This window comes from Homo sapiens, chromosome 20 (assembly GCF_000001405.40).
Source record: "Homo sapiens chromosome 20, GRCh38.p14 Primary Assembly".
Taxonomy (NCBI): Eukaryota; Metazoa; Chordata; class Mammalia; order Primates; family Hominidae; genus Homo; species Homo sapiens.
The window spans coordinates 23,462,692-23,483,218 of NC_000020.11; the positions used below are offsets into that span (position 1 = coordinate 23,462,692).

The 20,527-nt window shown below is 42.0% G+C and overlaps 1 pseudogene, besides 4 other annotated features; it reads left to right on the forward strand.

The window, feature by feature from the left end:
* Positions 10,260 to 10,878: an enhancer, noted in NCBI's record as "OCT4-NANOG-H3K27ac hESC enhancer chr20:23453588-23454206 (GRCh37/hg19 assembly coordinates)". NCBI's record gives its function as "activates a minimal SCP1, AML or CMV promoter by ChIP-STARR-seq in naive H9 embryonic stem cells {active_cell/tissue: H9 hESC(naive)}" and the evidence as "EXISTENCE:reporter gene assay evidence [ECO:0000049][PMID:30033119]".
* Positions 12,981 to 13,275: a silencer, noted in NCBI's record as "tiled region #1881; HepG2 Repressive non-DNase unmatched - State 20:ReprD". NCBI's record gives its function as "represses a minimal TATA promoter and a strong SV40 promoter by Sharpr-MPRA in HepG2 cells {active_cell/tissue: HepG2}" and the evidence as "EXISTENCE:reporter gene assay evidence [ECO:0000049][PMID:27701403]".
* Positions 12,981 to 13,814: a biological region, named in NCBI's record as "Sharpr-MPRA regulatory region 1881".
* Positions 12,987 to 13,814: an enhancer, noted in NCBI's record as "H3K27ac-H3K4me1 hESC enhancer chr20:23456315-23457142 (GRCh37/hg19 assembly coordinates)". NCBI's record gives its function as "activates a minimal SCP1, AML or CMV promoter by ChIP-STARR-seq in naive H9 embryonic stem cells {active_cell/tissue: H9 hESC(naive)}" and the evidence as "EXISTENCE:reporter gene assay evidence [ECO:0000049][PMID:30033119]".
* On the forward strand, positions 13,009 to 17,215 carry CST12P (cystatin 12, pseudogene; annotated as a pseudogene).

Genomic DNA, 20,527 nt, shown 5'->3' on the forward strand with positions numbered 1-20,527 from the left:
TAAGTTCCTTATAGATGCTGGCTACTAGACCTTTGTTAGATGCATGCTTGAAAAAATTTTCTCCATTCTGCAGATTGTCTGCTCACTCTGTTGATAGTTTCTTTTGCTGTGCTGAAGCTCTTTAGTTTAATTAGATCCCATTTGTCAATTTTTGCTTTTGTCACAATTGCTTTTGGTGTCATTGTCATGAAATCTTTGCCCATGCCAGTGTCCTAAATGGTGTTGTCTAGGTTGTCTTCTGGGTTTTTATAGTTTTGAGTTTTACATTTAAGTATTTAATTCATCTTGAGTTAATTTTTGTACATAATGTAAGAAAGGGGTCCAGTTTCAATCTTCTGCATATGGCTAGCCAGTTATCCCAGCATCATTTATTGAGTAGGAAGTCCTTTCCCCATTGCTTGTTTTTGTCAGGTTTTTCAAAAGTCAGATAGTTGTAGGTGTGTGGCCTTATTTCTGGGTCCTCTATTCTGTTCCATTGGTGTGTGTGTATGTTTTTGTACCATGCTGTTTTGGTTACAGTAGCCCTGTAGTATAGTTTGAAGTCAGGTAGCATGATACCTCCAGCTTTGTTCTTTTTGCTTGGGATTGCCTTGGCTATTTGGACTCTTCTTTTGGTTCTATATGAATATTAAAATAGTTTTTTTTAGTTCTGTGAAGAATGTCAATGGTAGTTTAATAGGAATAGCATTGAATCTATAAACTGCTTTTTAACAATATTGATTTCAACAACATTGATTTTTCCTATCCATGAGCATGGAATGTTTTTCCATTTGTTTGTGTCATCTCTGATTTCTTTGAGCAGTGTCTTGTAGTTCTCTTTGTAAAGATCTTTCACTTCCCTAGTTATCTGTATTCCTAGGTATTTTATTCTTTTTGTGGCAATTGTGAATGGGTGTACATTCCTGATTTGCCTCTTGGCTTGACTTTTGTTGGTGTATAGAAATGTTGGTAATTTTTGCACATTGATTTTGTATGCTGAGACATCATTTTATGACTCCTTAACATAAAATGAGAGATATACAATTTTTTTAAAAAAGGATCATGCCTTTGGTGTCATGTCTGAAAGTTCTAACTTCATGCCATGAATATTTTGCTCTAAAACTGTTATAGTTTTATATTTTTATCTATGATTCAATTTTGAGTTAATTCTTGTATAATGCATATATGATAAAATTTAGTTTCAGATTCATTTCTATTGCATATGGAAGCTCAATGGTTCCAACACCATTTATTGAAAAGATTGTTCTTTATACATTGAATTGCCTCTACACCAATGCCAAATGTGAGTTGGCTACCAGTTGGTCTATTTATGGCTATTTTGTTCTATTCTATGTTTTGACTACTGTATTCTGTTCTTACGTATGTGTCCATCACCTTATAAATACCACCATCCTCTAGTTCTATAGGATTTGAGGTAGACTATTGGGATTTTCATAACATGACACATATAATCATACGTGTTTCTATATGTGAATAGGGAGGTATATGCATTCAGTTGGGAGATATTTTTATTCATTTTGACAATCTCTATCTTTTAATTTAGATCACTTATATTTAATGTAATGATTGATATGTTTGGATTTTAGGTCTATCATAGAGAGGCCCATCAGTCTTAGTCTAGGTTCCTCAGGCATCTGAACCCCAGGAACAGCTTTAGCCAGCATATCTGTCTTCTCTAGCATCCATGTTCCCTTCCAGCAAGTTTCCCTAAGACACTCACAAAATTTTTTGTCCGCTGCCAGGAAGAAAATTCCTATTATTTTTTCACATGGTGAAATAACTGTGCTGATGCTTGATCCTGTTTCTGATTTATGGATCAATGGATTGAAGAAAAGGCATTTTGTTTGTTTGTTTCTCTCCAGATCTACTTTTCAGAGCTCACAAAATGATGAAACGTTCTAAGGTCAGATGGCTACTCTGCTGTGTTTTGCTGTGTTTCAGTGGTTCTCTGGGCATGATGGCTCTCAAATGTGATATAAGAATTGGACACCCAAGGAGAGATAGTTTGAGACTGTCGAACTCTGCAAAAGTCTAGCAGGCAGAGACACACCTTCCAGAGTGGCTAACATTAGCCTCTGGTGCTCTTAGGCAACACAAATGCTCCAAAAGGAGGCAGAAACCCTCAGGCCAGCTGAGAGACCAGAGGAGACCAAGCAGGTCAGCAGTGGGGATGTCAGGGAGGGGATGCTCTTCCCTTCTGCTGCCTCCTCTACTGCCAGATTGGGCACCAGAAGACAATGCCAGAAGACACTTTATAGGGAGCAACTTGCCTTCAAATCATAGGCTTTTTCTTTTGTGATTCTGAATTCTCCTGAGCCCCTGAATTTTTTATTATGGTTAAAATGTATATAACATAAAATTTGCCATTTTAAGCATTTTTAAGTGTACAGTTCAGTGGTGTTAAGTACATTCATCCATGTGCAATCCTCACCACAATCCATCTCTAGAATTTTTTCATGTTGTAAAATTGAAACTCCATACCCATTAAATAATAACACCTCATTCTTCTCTCCCCCAGCCCCTGGTAACCCCTAGTCTACTTTCTGTCTCTGTGAATTTGATTAGTCTAGATATCTCATGTGAGTGGAATCATATAGTGTTTGTCTTTTGTTACTGGCTTATTTCACTTAGTATAACATCCTCAAGGTTCACCCATGTTGTAACATGTAACCGTTTTTTCCTTTTTTATGGCTGAATAATATTCCATTGTATGGAAATGCCACATTTTTTTTATTCACTCATTCTTCCATGGACACTTGGGCTGCTTCCACCTCCCAGCTATTGTGGATAATGCTGCTGTGAACACGAGTGTGTGGATATATGCTCAATTCCAAGCCTCTGATTTTGCACCTTTGGTAATGAAGGAATCCCAAGGGAGGGTTGCAGAAGCTCCAGGGCAGGAGCCCTGATCAGGCAGCTCTCCGCTCTGCCCATGAGTCTCCAAAAGGTCCTCTAGGTATATGAGCCTGTCCCTAAGGGCCTGACCAACTTCTCGGTTAATAAGAAAAACTTTGCCAAGACTGCAGATGATTGCAGAAGCAGCAGCTCAACTCAGCATGTCCCTACCAGCTTTTTGATGCTTAAATCCTTCAGCCTGGGGGCCCAGCATGGTCTCCATTGTGAGGACTCAGTTGCAGATGCTACTCACTGCCCTTTGGAGAGACACTGTGGTAATAGACACTTGCCTTGATGTAGGAAACTGCCTGACTTGGAGCAAGACCTAGAGTGGAGGGCACCAGGGGCAGAAAGGGGATGAAAGATCTTGACTTTCAACGCTGCTTGGGAAAATGCATTTTCTCTGCTTCAATTGAGGGGACAAAAATTAAAGTTCAGTGCCTGATAAGGAAGAAGACTATGGTAAATATCCAAGGGTTTCAGGTGAAACCATGAGAGGCCACATCCTAGGAGTAAAAGTGAACTGGAAATAGACCATTTGCAGAAGCCCAGATTTGAATCTTTGAACTGAAAGAAAATAATGAACAATCTAGAATTCCATAGTCAGTAAAGATACTCCTCAAAAATGAAAGCAAAATAAAGACATTTTCAGAACATCAAAAAGAAAAAAAACTCAAAAATTTTAAAGATGAAAATGTTTCAGAGTGTGTTCTTTGTTCACAGTAAACAACTATAATAAAAATAGCTAAAAATAATTTTAATAACTCTAGCTGTCTGTAAATTTAACAATAAAAAAATCAAACAATAAATTTAAAAATAATTCATGGATTTTGAATTGAAAGATAATAACCATATGACATATCAACATTTCTGAGATGTTGCCATAAAAGGGCTTAGAGGGAAATTTATAGTCTTAAACCCATGTGTTAGCAGTATTTTGGGGACACCCAGAAGAGAGAAGATGGAGATTTGGCTGAACCCCTAGGATAGGGGGTCCCAGAGAAGTTAAATTGTTTAGAGAAAAGTCAGCTTTTGGAAAAAGCTAAATGATACACCAACAAGATCCAATAAAAAATAAACACTAAAATGAGTTCTTTGGAGGTAAGGGAGAATGATCCCAGGTGGAAGCAAAGTAATGTTGAAGGAATGGTGCACAGAAGAAGGGTAAATATAATTGATAAATCCCCATGAATATTAAACGTATAAAACCACTGTAATATTGTTTTACAGGCTATCAAATATGTAGAATTTAAGTACATGACAACAATAACATACAAGGTAGAAGTGGACAAAGGGGTAATAGTGCCCTAAGGTTTCCTCACCATCTTTGCAGTGGTATGTTGGGAGCAGGCCCCCCAAAATCTGTCCATAAACTGGCCCCAAAACTGGCCATAAACAAAATCTCTGCAGCACTGTAACATGTTCATAATGGCCCTAATGCCCGAGCTGGAAGGTTGTGGGTTTACAGGAATTAGGGCAAGGAACACCTGGCCCACCCAGGGTGGAAAACCACTTAAAGGCATTCTTAAGCCACAAATAATAGCATGAGTGATCTGTTTCTTAAGGGTGTGTTCCTGCTGCAGTTAACTAGCCCACCCTATTCCTTTAATTCGGCCCATCCCTTTGTTTCCCATAAGGGATACTCTTAGTTAATTTAATGTCTATAGAAATAATGCTAATGACTGGTTTGCTGTTAATAAATATGTGGGTAAATCTCTGTTTGTGGCTCTCAGCTCTGAAGGCTGTGAGACCCCTGATTTCCCGCTTCACACCTCTATATTTCTGTGTGTGTGTCTTTAATTCCTCTAGCGCCGCAGGGTTAGGGTCTCCCCGACCAAGCTGGTCTCAGCAAGTGGCACCCAATGTGGGACTCGAATCCGGATCGAAGGGTTGCCAGAGCAACCGTTGGAATGGAAAACTAGCTGGAGGACACCCGAGTACTCTTAAAGCAATCCCCATGGTGAGTAAGAAGGGGAGCTCAGAAGCATCAGGGTAACGGTGGGACAGTGTGGGGTCTGGTTCCTTTCACCTTGGAACTTTTTCACACTGATAATGAGGAGAACAAGAGTATAGTGAAGTAACAGAAGAGGTTACAGAGCATGTTTATTTGCCAGCTAAAGCGGCAAAGGAAGGAAAGTTTCATCCCTACCCTTCTGCACCCCCTCCTTATTATTTTGAAGAAAATGAACCCCCAGATCTTTCTTTTCTGGAGGACACTGGGTGAAAAGTAGTTGCCCCAGTGACTGTTTGAGCAGTGCCTCGAGCAACCAGTCTTAGTTCTATTCAGGCAGGAATTCAGCAAGCTAGACGAGAGGGTGATTTAGAGGCTTGGCAGTTCCCTGTTAGAATACACCCCCCAGATCAACAGGGAAATATTACAGCTACATTTGAGCCTTTTCTTTTTAAATTACTCAAAGAAATAAAACAAGCTATAAATCAGTATGGACCAGGTTCTCCTTTTGGAATGGGACTGTTAAAGAATGTTACTATTTCAAGTCAGATGATTCCTACTGACTGGGACACTCTTACTTCAGCTTGTCTAACTCCTGCTCAGTTCTTAAAATTTAAAACTTGGTGGGCATGGGTGCAGCACACCAACATGGCACATGTATACATATGTAACAAACCTGTATGTTGTGCACATGTACCCTAGAACTTAAAGTATAATAAAAAAATACATATATAAATAAAATAAAATAAAATAAAACTTGGTGGGCAGATGACGCTTCCATTCAGGCTGCTCACAATGCCCAGGCCGAAACTCAAATTAATATAACTGCAGACCAACTTTTGGGGATTAGCAGCTGGTCTGGTTTACATGCACAACTGGTCATGCAGGAAGATGCCATAGAACAGCTTAGGGGAGTGTGCATTGGAGAGTGGGAAAAAATCACTTCAGGTGGAGAACAATACCCTTCCTTTAGTGCTATGAAACAGGGACAAGGGAAGCATATGTTGATTTTATAGCTCGGTTACAGGGGTCTCTTAAAAAGATGATTGCAGATTTGGCGCTCAGGATATAGTGTTGCAGTTATTAGCTTTTGACAATGCTAATCCCGATTGCCAGGCTGCTCTGCAACCTATCAGAGGGAAGGCACATTTAGTTGATTATATCAAGGCCTGTGATGGTATCAGAGGTAATCTGCATAAAGCTACCTTGTTGGCACAGGCAATGGCAGGACTAAGAGTGGATAAAGGAAATACTCCATTTCCTGGAGCTTGTTTTAACTGTGGGAAGCATGGTCATGCTAAAAAAGAATGTAGAAAAAATCAGCGAGTCAGGTTGCCAGATAGGGGAAAAAAGAAAACTGTTAAGCCTGTAATATGTCCACAATGTAAAAAAGGAAATCATTGGGCTAGTCAGTGTCACTCTAAGTTTAATAAAGAAGGGAACTTGATTTCGGGAAATGCATGAGGGGCCCGTCCTGGGCCCTGTTCTAAACTGGGGCATTTTCAGCACAGGCCATTCCCTCAACCCTGTAAAATGTCTGTCCCCTGCCACAGCTGGTAGTGCCACAGTAGATTTATGCTGCACAAAAGCTGTGAGCCTTCTGCCTGGGGAACTCCTGCAAAAGGTCTCAACAGGAGTCTGTGGACCCTTGCCAGCAGGGACAATAGGATTACTTTTTGGAAGGTCTAGTGTAAGTTTAAAAGGGATACAAATACATACAGGAGTCATTGATTCAGATTACAATGGGGAAATTCAAATTGTTATATCTACTTCTGTTCCCTGGAAAGCAGACCCAGGAAAGCACATAGCACAGCTCCTGATTGTGCCATATGTAGGAATGGGAAAAAGTGAAATTAAACCATCAAGAGGATTTGGAAGCACAAACAAACAAGGCAAAGCAGCTTATTGGGTAAATCAAATTACTGATAAACGTCCTACCTGTGAAATAACTATTCAAGGAAAGAAATTTAAAGGTTTGGTAGATACAGGAGTGGACATTTCAATCATTGCTCTACAGCACTGGCCGTCCATGTGGCCAATTCAACCTGCTCAATTTAACATAGTTGGAGTTGGTAAAGCTGCTGAAGTATATCAAAGTAGTTATATTTTGCATTGTGAGGGGCCCAATGGACAACCTAGGACTATTCAACCAATTATAACTTCTGTACCTATAAATTTATGGGGAAGAGATTTATTACAACAATGGGGAGCACAAGTTCTAATTCCAGAACAATTATATAGCCCTCAAAGTCAATATACAATGCATGAAATAGGGTATATCCCTGGTATGGGACTAGAAAAAAATTTGCAAGGTTTGAAAGAACTGCTTCAAGCAGAAAAACAAAGTTCCTGCCAAAGATTAGGAAATAATTTTTTATGGTGGCCATTGTTAAGCCTCCAGAACCTATACCTTTAAAATGGTTAACAGATAAACCAATTTGGATAGAACAATGGCTGCTAAGTAAAGAGAAATGGGAGGCTTTAGAGAAATTAGTTACTGAACAATTAGAAAATGGGCACATAGCTCCAACATTTTCCCCTTGGAATTCTCCAGTGTTTGTAATTAAGAAAAAATCAGGTAAATGGAGAATGTTAACTGAGTTAAGAGCCATCAATTCAGTTATACAACCTATGGGAGCATTACAGCCAGGATTGCCTTCTTCTGCTATAATTCCAAAAAATTGGCCTTTAATAGTCATAGATTTAAAAGACTGTTTCTTTACTATCCCTTTAGCTGAGCAAGACTGTGAACGGTTTGCATTTACAATTCCTGCAGTAAACAACCTGCAGCCTGCTAAGCGTTATCACTGGAAAGTGTTGCCACAGGGCATGTCAAACAGTCCAACAATTTGCCAGATGTATGTGGGGCAAGCAATTGAACCTACTTGTAAAAAATTTTCACAGTGTTACATTATTCACTATATGGATGATATACTTTGTGTTGCCCATACTCGAGAAATATTACTCTAATGTTATGATTACTTGCAAAATTCGATTTCTCATGCTGGTTTAATTATAGCTCCTGATGAAATTCAGACTACTACTCCTTACTCCTACTTGGGGACCTTAGTAAATGGCACTACCATTGTGTCACAGAAAGTAACCATACATAGGGATCAACTAAAAACATTAAATGACTTTCAAAAATTACTAGGGGATATTAATTGGATATGACCTGCTCTAGGCATTCCTACCTATGCCATGAGTAATCCGTTTTCTATCCTTAGAGGAGATCCTAGTCTTACTAGCCGTCAGCAATTAAAGGAGGCTGAGGTCAAGTTACAGCTGACTGAAAAGCAAGTCCATAAGGCTCACATAGAATAGATCCAGAGAAGACTCTAGATTTGCTAATTTTTTTCATCTCAGCATTCACCTACTGTTGTTATTGTCCAAGAACAGGACTTGGTAGAGTGGCTTTTTCTTCCACATACTAATTCATGGACTCTAAATCCTTTTTTAGATCAAATCGCTACTATGATAGGGATTGGGAGAACTCAGATTGTTAAATTACATGGATATGATCCTGGAAAAATTATTGTCCCTCTCACAAAGGCACAAATACAGTAAGCTTTTATAAATAGTCTTACCTGGCAAATCCATTTAGCTGACTTTGTGGGTATTCTCGATAATCATTTTCCTAAAATGAAGCTGTTTCAGTTTTTGAAATTAACTGATTGGATTCTCCCTAAAATAATGAAATTTAAACCAATTGAAGGTGCTGAGAATGTTTTTACAGATGGGTCTAGTAATGGTAAAGCTTCTTATTCTGGCTCAAAAAGTAAAGTTTTTCAGATGCCCTATACTTAAGCTCAAAAAGTGGAGCTTGTAGCTGTAATTGAGTTATTGACTGCTTTTGATATGCCTATTAATGTGATTTCTGATTCTTCATATGCGGTTCACTCCACACAGTTAATTGAAAATGCTCAGTTATGATTTCATACAGATGAACAACAGATGACTTTATTTACCCAATTGCAAACAGCAGTTAGGAGTAGAATGCACCCTTTTTACATCACTCACATTAGGGCTCATACACCTCTTCCAGGACCTTTGACTGAAGGGAATCAAATGGCTGATCACCTAGTTGCTACTGCAATATCTAATGCTAGACATTTTCATAATTCAACCCATGTTAATGCCTCTGGTCTCAAACGCAGATACAGCATTACCTGGAAAGAAGCTAAAGCTATTATCCAGCAATGCCCAACTTGCCAAATGGTACATTCCTCATCTTTTACAGGAGGAGTTAATCCTCGAGGACTGGAACCTAACTCTATTTGGCAAGTGGATGTCACACATGTTCCCTCGTTTGAGAGACTAGCTTATGTACATGTATGTGTGGACACCTTTTCTCACTTTGTCTGGACTGCATGCCAAACAGGAGAGTCTTCTGCCTGTGTTAAAAATCACCTTTTGCTGGAATGCATGGGCATTCCAGCTTCTATTAAAACAGATAATGCCCCAGGCTATACTAGCCAAACTCTAGCTACATTTTTCTCTATGTGGAATATTAAACACATTACCAGTATCCCATACCATTCTCAAGGACAAGCCATAGTGGAAAAAATGAATCTCTCCCTAAAACAGCAGCTGCAAAAGCAGAAGGGGAGAGACAGAGAATATGGGACACTGCAGATACAACTGAATCTAGCATTATTGACTTTAAATTTTCTGAGCCTGCCCAAAGGCCAGATGTTATCAGCAGCTGAACAGCATCTACAGAAACCAGCTGCAAAGACAGAAATAGAACAACTGATTTGGTGGAGAGATCCAATAACAAAAAGTTGGGAAATAGGTAAAATAATAACTTGGGGTAGAGGTTATGCTTGTATTTCTCCAGGCCAAAATCAACAGCCAATTTGGATACTATCAAGACACCTGAAACCTTATCATGAGCCAGATGCTGAGGAAGAGACTCCGGGAGGATCCTGAGGACCCCCCAGTTGCAGCCATGTCAAGACTGACTCTGTGGAGGACTCCAACTGTCACAAGCAACACCTGTCGAACACAGCCACCCATCTGGGGACAGATCAAGAAGCTGTCACAGATGGTGGAAGAAAACCTGAGGAAAGCGGGACAACCAGTCACAACGAGTAATTTTATGGTAGCTATGATAGCGGTTATCACCACTGCCATGAGTATTCCTTCAGTAAGGGCTGACACAGAGAACAATTATACTTATTGGGTATATTTATCAATCTTGGCTGGCAATAATTCCTGGATGCAATCACTTTATGACACAGTTACACATGCTTTCTGATCTCAGTATTTATCATAATAAAACTGCTCCTATAATTGAGGCATACCGCCCTCAAAAACCTATTTGTAAACAGGAATGGACCCAGTTAGAAAAAATGAACATACTTGTTTAGGAAGATTGCATTGCAGAACAGGCAGAGGTACTGAACAACGATTCCTATGGAATCATTATTAATTGGTCCCCTAAGGCGATGTTTAGCTTAAATTGCACCTCTCAGTCTGTGTGCCACGGTCACACTATGTTCAGCTGATCTGAACAAAACAGTCAGATGGTAGATATAATAATAAGTACAGCAAGAGTTCCTATTATCTGGAACCATGGCAGTATAGTGGCACCTCAACCTCAAATGATATGGCCCACTCTAGGAGCTTAACATAAGGATTTAAAATTAAAAGAACAAATATTTAAAGCATCCCAGGCACACCTGACCTTAATGCCAGGAGCTGGAGTGCTCAAAGGAGCTGAAAATGGATAAAAACACTTGGAAGCTCTGTGATTTCAATGATGATTGTGCTTTTAATCTGTGTTGTTTGTCTTTGTATAGTCTGCAGATGTGGATCCTGACTCCTGCGAGAAGTAGCTCACCATGACAAAGCTGCCTTTGCTTTTGTCGATTTGCAAATCAGAGAGTGGTAAAGGTACTAATTTATGGTAACTCAGTTAAGTCAATGATACTCATTACAATCACTATAGTTACCACTAAAAGAAGAGGTAAAGAAGAGATAACTTGGCTGGGTGCAGTGGCTCACTCCTATAATCCCAGCACTTTGGGTGGCCTAGGCAGCTGGATCACTTGAGGCCAGGAGTTCAAGACCAGCCTAATCTACATAGTGAAACCCCATTGCTACTAAAAATACAAAATTAGCTGGACAGAGTGGCTCACATCTGTAGTCCCAGCTGCTCGGGAGGCTGAGGCACGAGAATTGCTTGAACCCAGAAGGCTTCAGTGAGCTGAGATTGCACCACTGCACTCCAGCCTGGGTGACAGAGTGAAACTCCATCTCAAAAAAAAGAAAAGACAAAAGGGGAGGTTAACTAAAAGCCACTGAGGAGAAGAAATTGAATAAAACAAGAAACAGGGACAAATGAAATGAATAGAAAACAAATAGCAATATGGTAGATTTGAAACCAAACATATGGTAATATTAGTCATTAGTAACTAATAATATGAGTAATGTAAATGGAACAACTTTCCAAATAAGACTCTTAGACTGATTTAAAAAACTATTTGGTGGTTATAAAGGCACATATTAATTAAGATACCATATTAGAATAAAAGTATGAATAAAGATATTCAAGTAAATAAGAATCAAAACAATGCTAAATGTTTTGGTGTCTCTGACATCAGACTTCAGAGCAAGAGGCATTACTCAGCATAAACTGGTACATTATATAATGATAAAATGGTCAGCCACCAAGAAAGTGTAACAATTCTACTTGTATAAGCCCTGGACGACATAGTCTGAAAATAAATCAAGCAAAAATTGTCAGAAAGAAATAGACAAATTCACAATCATAATCATCATGAGAAATTTTAACATACCCCTCAGTAACTGGCAGAAAAGGCGACCAAAACCTAAACCAAAACCAAACCAAACCAAACTCAATAAAACAAGACAAAGTAGAAAGAGTAAATATGGCCAGGCACAGTGGCTTATGCCTGTAATCCCAGCACTTTGGGAGGCTGAGGCGGGTGGATTACCTGAGGCCAGGAGTTTGAGACCAGCCTGGCCAACATGGTGAAACCCTGTCTCTACTATAAATCCAAAAGCGTGGTGGTACATGTCTGTAATTCCAGCTGCCTGGGAGGCTGAAGCATGAGAATTGCTTAAACCCAGGAGGCAGAGGTTGCAGTGAGCTGAGATCGTGCTACTGTACTCTAGCCTAGGTGACAGAGTGAGACTCTGCCTCAGGAAAAAAAAAAAAAAAAGAAATAAAGAAAAAAGGGTAAATATATAGAAAATTTCAACAGAATGGACTTACTGATGTATATAAATATCTAACTCTACATCTATAAAATGCAGAATACGTATTCTTTTCAACTGCATATATTAATAGAATATTGGTTATTCTAGACAAATAACTCAAAAATTTCAAAGAAGGGAGATAATGAAATGGTGTTCTCTGACTGACTATAGTGGACTTGAATTAGAAGTCGATGAGAGAAAAGATAACTAGAAAATCAACTACATTTGGAAATTAAACAATACAGCTATAATAGCCCACAGATTAAAAAAAATGTCATAGTGGAAATTACAACTGGTTTTGAAATGAAGGAAAACTAATAATCAGCCTGGGAGGATGAAGCCAGTTGCACCTTCTGGTGGAGGAAGGTCTGGCAGCAGGGAAAATGGACTCTTATAGACATCTCCCTTGCACCCTTCAGAGCCCCACTGGCCACACACTTTGTGCTCTCCTGGGCCCAGCTGGCAATGTGGGCTCCAGCCCCGTCATGGGCAGGCTTAGCAACTGCTTCTGCTCTTCAGGAACTGGCTCACCAGAGGTCTCAGAGATTTCTTTTTCCCTGGTGAGCCTTACATGCACTATGTGAGGGCAAGCCAGGTGGGCTCGAGGTCTCCACCGGGTCTTCTCAGGGCTGGGCTGCAGCTGGAGGAGGCTTCCCTGAAAAGGTAGGCAGCAGGCATGTTGCATGCATGCCTGCAGGTCCAAAGTTATGTGACCTCCTGCTCTGCCTTGTTTGGAGATAACGGAGGGACTCTGCGGGGTTGTGGAGAGAGGCACTGGACAAGGCACTGCTCAAAGGGAGGTGCTCAACAGCTCAGGGCCCCTGGTGGACAGGGCTGTGTGGGACCCAGAGCTGAGAAGGGAGTCACCAGCAGCAGCTGCCACCACTCCTCCACCTGAGTGTCCCTGGCCCCCAGTGGGTACGCTGAGGATAGCCATGTGGTAGAAGGTGCCCCTGCTCATGGCACTTATTGTGCTGAGCACCCGCATCTGGATCATTCAAAAAGAATTCGTAGACATCAGTATTTTGTGGCATCAATGGAGTTTGCTGTGGCTCAGTTCAATGAGGACAATATGGAAGAGTACACGCACAGGTTGCTGGAGGTCCAGCGAGCCCAGCAGAAGGTGAGTGGCAGTCATTTTGTCCACTCCCAGAACTCTCTTCACCGACTGAATAGCTCAAAGCCCGTGGTGATGGCAGCAGGGGGTGACGTGGGAGGGGGTCCCATGTCTGCACCACATTTCTGAAGATTGGGCTCAGGGGCCCTTCCTCCTGCGGTGGGCACACAGCCTTCCTGATCTTTGCCCATTTCCTTGGCCATCTGCCCCTTCCTTGGGTTGCATCCCCATCCCTGGACCCTGGGAGGCTGCAGGAGCCCTGGGCACAGGGGGGTTATGCTGCTGCCCAGCCACAGTGCCCGGGGTGGGGGCTTCATGCCAGCCTAAAAGGGGAGAATGTAAGGAGGGGCAGGGCATATGTGAGTGTTCTTGGTGTGTATGGGAGTATGAGTATGTGAGTGTGTTATTGATATATGTAAAAACATGAGTGTGCTGTTGGTGTGAATCAAGGAATGACTGTGAGTGTGTTGGTGTGTTGGGGCATCAGTGTGTGAGTGTGTTGAGGGTTGGGCATGAGTGTATGTTGGTGTGTGTCAGGCATGAGTATGAATGTGTTGGTTTGTGTCAGGCATGAGTGTGAGTGTGTTGGTGTGTGTCAGGGCATGAGTATGTGAGTGTGTTGGGCATGAGTGTATGTTGTTGGTGTATGTTGGGCATGAGTGCATGTTTTTGGCATGTGTTGGGCATGTGTGTGTGAGTGTGTGTTGGGCATGAGTGTGAGTGCGTTATGTGTATAGGGTCACGAGTGTGAGTGTGTTGGTGTGTGTTGGGCTTGAGTGTGAGTGTGGTGTGTGTGTTGGGTATGAGTGTGAGTGTGTTGGTGTGTGTTGCGCGTGAGTGTATGTTGGTGTATGTTGGGCATGAGTGCATGTTTCTGGCATGTGTTGGGCATGCATGTGTGAGTGTGTGTTAGGTATGAGTGTGAGTGTGTTGTGTGTATAGGGGCATGAGTGTGAGTGTGTTGTGTGTGTTGGTCATGAATGTGAGTGTGTTGTGTGTATAGGGGCATGAGTGTGGTTGTTAGTTTGTTCCAGGGCATAGTTGGGTATCATCTCAACCCCAGCATGGATTGCTGAGCCCTTGACTGGGTCAAGTTTCTCGACAATTTCTAGGCTGTCCAGTGAGACCTGTGCCCCAGCCTGTCCAGACTTCTGGTCTGGATTCATTTTCTCTCTACATTTGGGTGCTTCCTGAGTTTCATGGACTTCTACGTAAAGAAATGAAAATAACTTTTAATCACTTCTTATAGAAGCCTAAGAAACATGCACAACAGCATGGTGCAGCTCTGCATTCACCTCGATGATCACTGGCAAGGTAGATGGTTACGAGCAATTAGCACTCACATGAAGCAGAACAGTGCCATCCCCCAGAGCCCCCTCTGTGATCCCATCTAGATTCTAACCTGCAAGGAGTCCTGCTGACCTAGTTTTTAATCCCAGGCATTAGTCTCGCCCATTTCTCACTCTGTGTAAAAGGAACCACCCAGTGTGAGCCCTCTGTGTGTGGCTGAGGCTCAGGTGTAAGGCAGAGGCAGTGTATTGTTAGGTGTGGCTGCGGCATGTGCAGGCTCACTGCTGCGCAGGATTTGATTGTGTGAGTGTGTCACACCCTATGTTTATCACTCTGTCAATTTGTCTGTCAGGTATTAGTCATTGGGAAGATTCCAGTGTGTATCTGAAGCACACTTAGTGGACTGTCTTCTACTGACCTGCAGAGAGATTGTACATGGCCCTGTCTAGGCCTATTTATATGACATGCACATGGCAGCCTTTTATCCACTTTCCTATTTGTTTCTCTGCCTTTTAAAAAAATTCATGAAAAGAAAACACTTAGCAACTGTTTGTATAATTCTTCTTGACAGACGTGGACAATGATTTATTATTATTATTATTATACTTTAAGTTTTAGGGTACATGTGCACAATGTGCAGGTTAGTTACATATGTATACATGTGCCATGCTGGTGCACTGCACCCACTAACTCGTCATCTAGCATTAGGTATATCTCCCAATGCTATCCCTCCCCTCTCCCCCCACCCCACAACAGGCCCCAGAGTGTGATGTTCCCCTTCCTGTGTCCATGTGTTCTCATTGTTCAATTCCCACCTGTGAGTGAGAATATGCGGTGTTTGGTTTTTTGTTTTTGCGATAGTTTATTGAGAATGATGATTTCCAATTTCATCCATGTCCCTACAAAGGACATGAACTCATCATTTTTATGGCTGCATAGTATTCCATGGTGTATATGTGCCACATTTTCTTAATCCAGTCTATCATTGTTGGACATTCGGGTTGGTTCCAAGTCTTTGCTATTGTGAATAATGCCGCAATAAACATACGTGTGCATGTGTCTTTATAGCAGCATGATTTATAGACCTTTGGGTATATAACCGGTAATGGGATGGCTGGGTCAAATGGTATTTCTAGTTCTAGATCCCTGAGGAATCACCACACTGACTTCCACAATGGTTGAACTAGTTTACAGTCCCACCAACAGTGTAAAAGTGTTCCTATTTCTCCACATCCTCTCCAGCACCTGTTGTTTCCTGACTTTTTAATGATTGCCATTCTAACTGGTGTGAGATGATATCTCATTGTGGTTTTGATTTGCATTTCTCTGATGGCCAGTGATGGTGAGCATTTTTTCATGTGTTTTTTGGCTGCATAAATGTCTTCTTTTGAGAAGTGTCTGTTCATGTCCTTCGCCCACTTTTTGATGGGGTTGTTTGTTTTTTCCTTGTAAATTTGTTTGAGTTCAGACAATGATATTTTTAACAGATTTGGAGATGGGCCTCACAATTTGTAAAAAATATGATGAAGACATTGACAATTGCCCATTGCAAGAAGGCTCAGCAGAGAAAAAGGTTTGAGAATAAAATCAACCCCAAAGCATCATGAATCTCTCGGGAATGGATAGTAATATCAAGGTGGGCCTTTGGGAGGAGGCTTAGAAAGGTCATCAGAGGTGATCCTGGGGCAGAATGAGGGTCCCTGAGCCCTCTCCCACCTGGTGTCAGGGCTCCCTCAGTGAAGGCAGAAGGCTGGCATGTAAGCAGACAAAGCCTGGCCTCAGTGCCAGGGAGATCCCTCTGCCTACAGCATGGCTGACTGGACATAGCAGGCACCTGCAGATTCTACATGGCCTTTGTCCCCAGACCAAGCCCTCACTTTGCTCCCCAGGCCAGTACCTTCCTGAGACCCTCGAGATCCAGGTAGATGATGTTCTCCATGCAGTCCTCACTCTTATTTTGTTGTTGGGGATTGCAGGACTGTCTAGTTTCTCCGGTCACTCAACCTGTCCCTCTAGTTCCTGTGTGGTAAGGATGTGTCCTAGTCAGTCTGAGTTCTGACACCATCCTCCCATGACCCATACATGACCCATGTGAGCTCAGAGGTTGAGGATGCTCTGAATCAGAGTTACAGGAGCAGCAGGGCTGGTCTCGCCCTTCCACCTGCAGGCTTGCTGTCAACTGCTGTGCTCAGTTGGTGGGTGCCCAGAGGGACCATCCCTTGGGAAGTTCATTCTCTCCCCTAGAACACACAGGGTGGGAGCCGTTCATCCAGCATCATGTGTGCTAGGGAGATTGTGAGTGGACACGATGCTTCAGGGGTCAGGTGATGGCCCAATCAGGCATGCTTTCAGGAATCCCCAGGCTCAGGTGGGAGCATTCAGCCACCTGTGCCCCTTGTCCTGGTGGAGGCTTGGGCATTTCAAGCCCTGTTCCTGGATGACTGTTTTTGTTTTTCATTTTTTGTAGTTTTTAATACATCTTGACCCCCTACTACATGCTAAATGCTCTCAGTGCATTACATTTTTCTAATTTATATGTTATACTTATTTTTTTTCAGGTATACTGCACATTTGTCATGGATGCCCGACCTTGGTTTTCCCAGTTCAACCTCCTAAACATCACCTGTAATGTGGAAACAGGTGGTGGCAGAGCCCCTGATTTTTTGCAGCAGAAGTCCTCTCTTCCTCTAGAGTATGAAAGTTTGTAGTTCTAGGCCTATGCTGCACTAGCAGAATTAAAGACATCTTAGCTCCTTCTGGGTCTGTGAACAGTTTTGCACTCTTTCCTATTATTTATTTGCCATGGATGTTTCTGGCAGTGATAAGCAAGGGAGAATTCATTATCATCGTTACCTTGGCTGCAGGTGTAGACTGTTGAATAAACCAAACTCCCCAGTTGATTTGAGGCAGTTCATGTAGGAGCCCCCCACCAGTTGGTTGGTGTACTCATCCATCCACCCATCGATCCATCCATCCATCCATCCATCCATCCATCCATCCATCCATCCATCCATCCATCCATCTGTTCCTTCATTCATGCACTGATTCATTCATTCATCCTTCCATTTCTCTATGCCATCATCCATCCACTCTAAAGGAATGCAGACAATTTTGTTAACCACACATGACCCTTCTGTTTCCATCTCAGGAACAGGCTCACAGAGGGTGGCTCTTCTGCAGAAGGGCCAGGCGCAGGCCTAGGGATCAGAGAAGGTCACTGAAGCTGACAGGAGGCTCTGCCCTCTGTGGACACCGAGGGCTGCATGAATCACAATGATGTCTTCTCCAGAGCTCAGATGTCTTCTCCAGAGCTCAGAAGATGGCAGTTCCAGTCTGCATGCCCACACCTGCTCCTGATGCCTGTGTTACCTATCTGGGACCCAGCCAGGGCTTCATAGCTGCCAGCATCACTCACTGCCCCTGGGAGAAGCACTGTGGTGACAGACACCCATCCTGACAAGCAGTCCTCTCTGCTGGGGTCTTGGTGGGGGATCAGCCTTGGAGGGGCAGAGAGATGAGGGGATGGTGTGGTGGGGGGACATGCATTGGGCAAAGAGACAGTGCAACAGTTTCTGGAGGAGTCTTCCCGAACAGAAGGGCTAGGGAGTCTTTACTCCTCCATCCTTGGTTTGGGGGGTGATTTGAATATTTCTTGGTAAGAAGTCTGCCTTTTTCCTGGATAGCTCATTCCCATGAATTTGCCATAGGGCTTATGGGACAGAATTTTCAGAAACAGCTTTGGGTAGCTCCATCTGTCATGGCAAAAAGATGTGGCAGCTTTGGTCCTTCGGCCAACTTCTGTGCAGGATTTGTGTGCAACATCCCTCCATAATTTGATAGGGCATATTTATATTACCAAGGGGATGTCTGCATGGTTAGCAAAACCAATCAATTGCTGGCCCTTGGCTTTGAGAGCACTCAGGCTGGGAGGGGTGGAGCCCTTGTTTATGGACCCCATGCCTACTGTTCCGGACAAGCACAGCCACACCCTCCCTGAGCTCTGGTCAGCATTGCTTGCTGATGGAAGCACCTTTACCTTTAATTCCAAGTTCACAAGGAAGGCCTGGCATCCTGCTCTTTTTCACAATAAGCCAGTTGTTTTCTACCTTGATCCACACAAAATCCCACTGGTTTCATTTTATATTTCTCTTAGGGACCAAGCATTACCCCTATCTGTATTGCAACAGAAAATTTGGGCCTAAATCATAAATACTTGGAGTCCTCAGGTGTTCGGTGCTTGGGGCTATGGCTGTGAAGTGGTTCTTTAAGGTACTCCAATATTTTAGAAATTGTGTTTACTGCAGTTGGGTATTTTGTCCATGGCCTGTGTTCTTTAGTTCCGGCTCTCATAGAAATTGAAAACATAGCCCTATTGCGGATTTCACTGTTGATGGTGCCCAGTGGCCATGAGCTATGCAAGCAGCTTTGGTAGGGTTAGTAAATTTTGTGCCTGCCACTTTTGTTAGTAATATGATGACCTCAAACCAGTAGAGCTTTGAATAATGTGTCAATATCCAAGATCAGCCAGAATCCAGGAGTCCATCTTGTTTCCTGGAGAAACCTCTCTGGATTTGGGTCAGTCATTAAGTGGCCTGAATAAGTAGGAAGTAAACATATTGAAAGTTATAGTACACAAAATTGACATATATTTCTAAATTCTAGATCTATGTCAAACCCCGAATATTTTCTACATCTTATCGAGTGACCTGTTTTGAAGGAGCAGGGCTCTTTGGAATGCATTTGCTGAGACCCCTCCTAAAATTAAGACTTAATTAAAATCTCAGCATTGGAGTGAGGGAGGCTGAAGAGACACAGAACTACATCCCTACACACCCAACACTGTAAAATATGTGTCACCGAAATCATCTCCTTTAACCCTCACCACAGCCCCCTCCCCATCTTCATATTAGGGCATTGAGCTACTTTTGTGGTTAATTACTGGGATTTTCTGAAATTGACCTCAGGGCCAAACGATTCCACTACCCATATCACCAACTGCCCTTCTAACTCTTGAGTTTCCAACCCCACAGATCCACAGGCATTCAGTAAAGAACAAACCAAAGGCTTAGGAACACTTGCAACTGCCACTTATCTCATTTGTCTGATGTTTCCCAAATACTATTTTTTTTTCAAAAGAAAATCACCCACTACAAAAGCTGCTATTGTTTATTTCCTTTCTCCTGTCAGCCCAGGAATGCAATCAGCAGATCAAAGTAACCAATCTGTCTGTCATGAAAACCCCTTGTCTGGTCTCCAGCCATACCATACTCATCTTTTGCCCCACTTGCTCTCTGAGCTCCACAGACCCTGAATGGCCTCCTCCCATTCCTCTTCCAGCCTCCTGGTTGCACCCCGCTTGAAGAGTTCTGCTGCTTTTTAAATGATGATACCTATTATCTCTGCAATGGTCTATATTTTACACAGACATGTCCCCTGCTTACATCCTGTGCGTGGCAGACAGAAAAATCTAAAATTCCATCTAAATCATACATAACCTCAAATTAGTTTTATATTTTAAAAATACAGTCTGTAATTGATTGGAGATGTGAAAAAAACCTGGCCCTTCACAACAGATTTTGAGAAACACAGGACTTTCTATTGGCCATGAAGTTTATCTTCACACTGATTTTCTGTTCTACATATTAATTCAGACATGGCCAATGTCTTCATCTATACTGTCATTTGTCTATTGACTTCTTATGTCTTCCGTGGGTCAGAAATCCTTAATTTTATAATTTTTAATGTGGGATGTGGCATTTTATACTAAACATTTTTAGAGTACTCTTCAAGTCTTTTCCTCTCTGCTTATTTTTTGGCTTCTTGATCTATCAATTTTTGGCTTTAGGACTATCAAATAAAACGTTGGTCACTTATCTTTTTTTTCTGCAGTTCTCTTATTTTTTGCTAGATATGTGTTAGACTGCAATGATGGTATATAAATGTTTTGATGACTGTATTTTCTTGTCCTATTTTTTCCTTTGTTTATTTTTGTTCCTATATTAGTTATCTATGCTATGTAACAAATATCCACAAACTTAGAAGGTTAA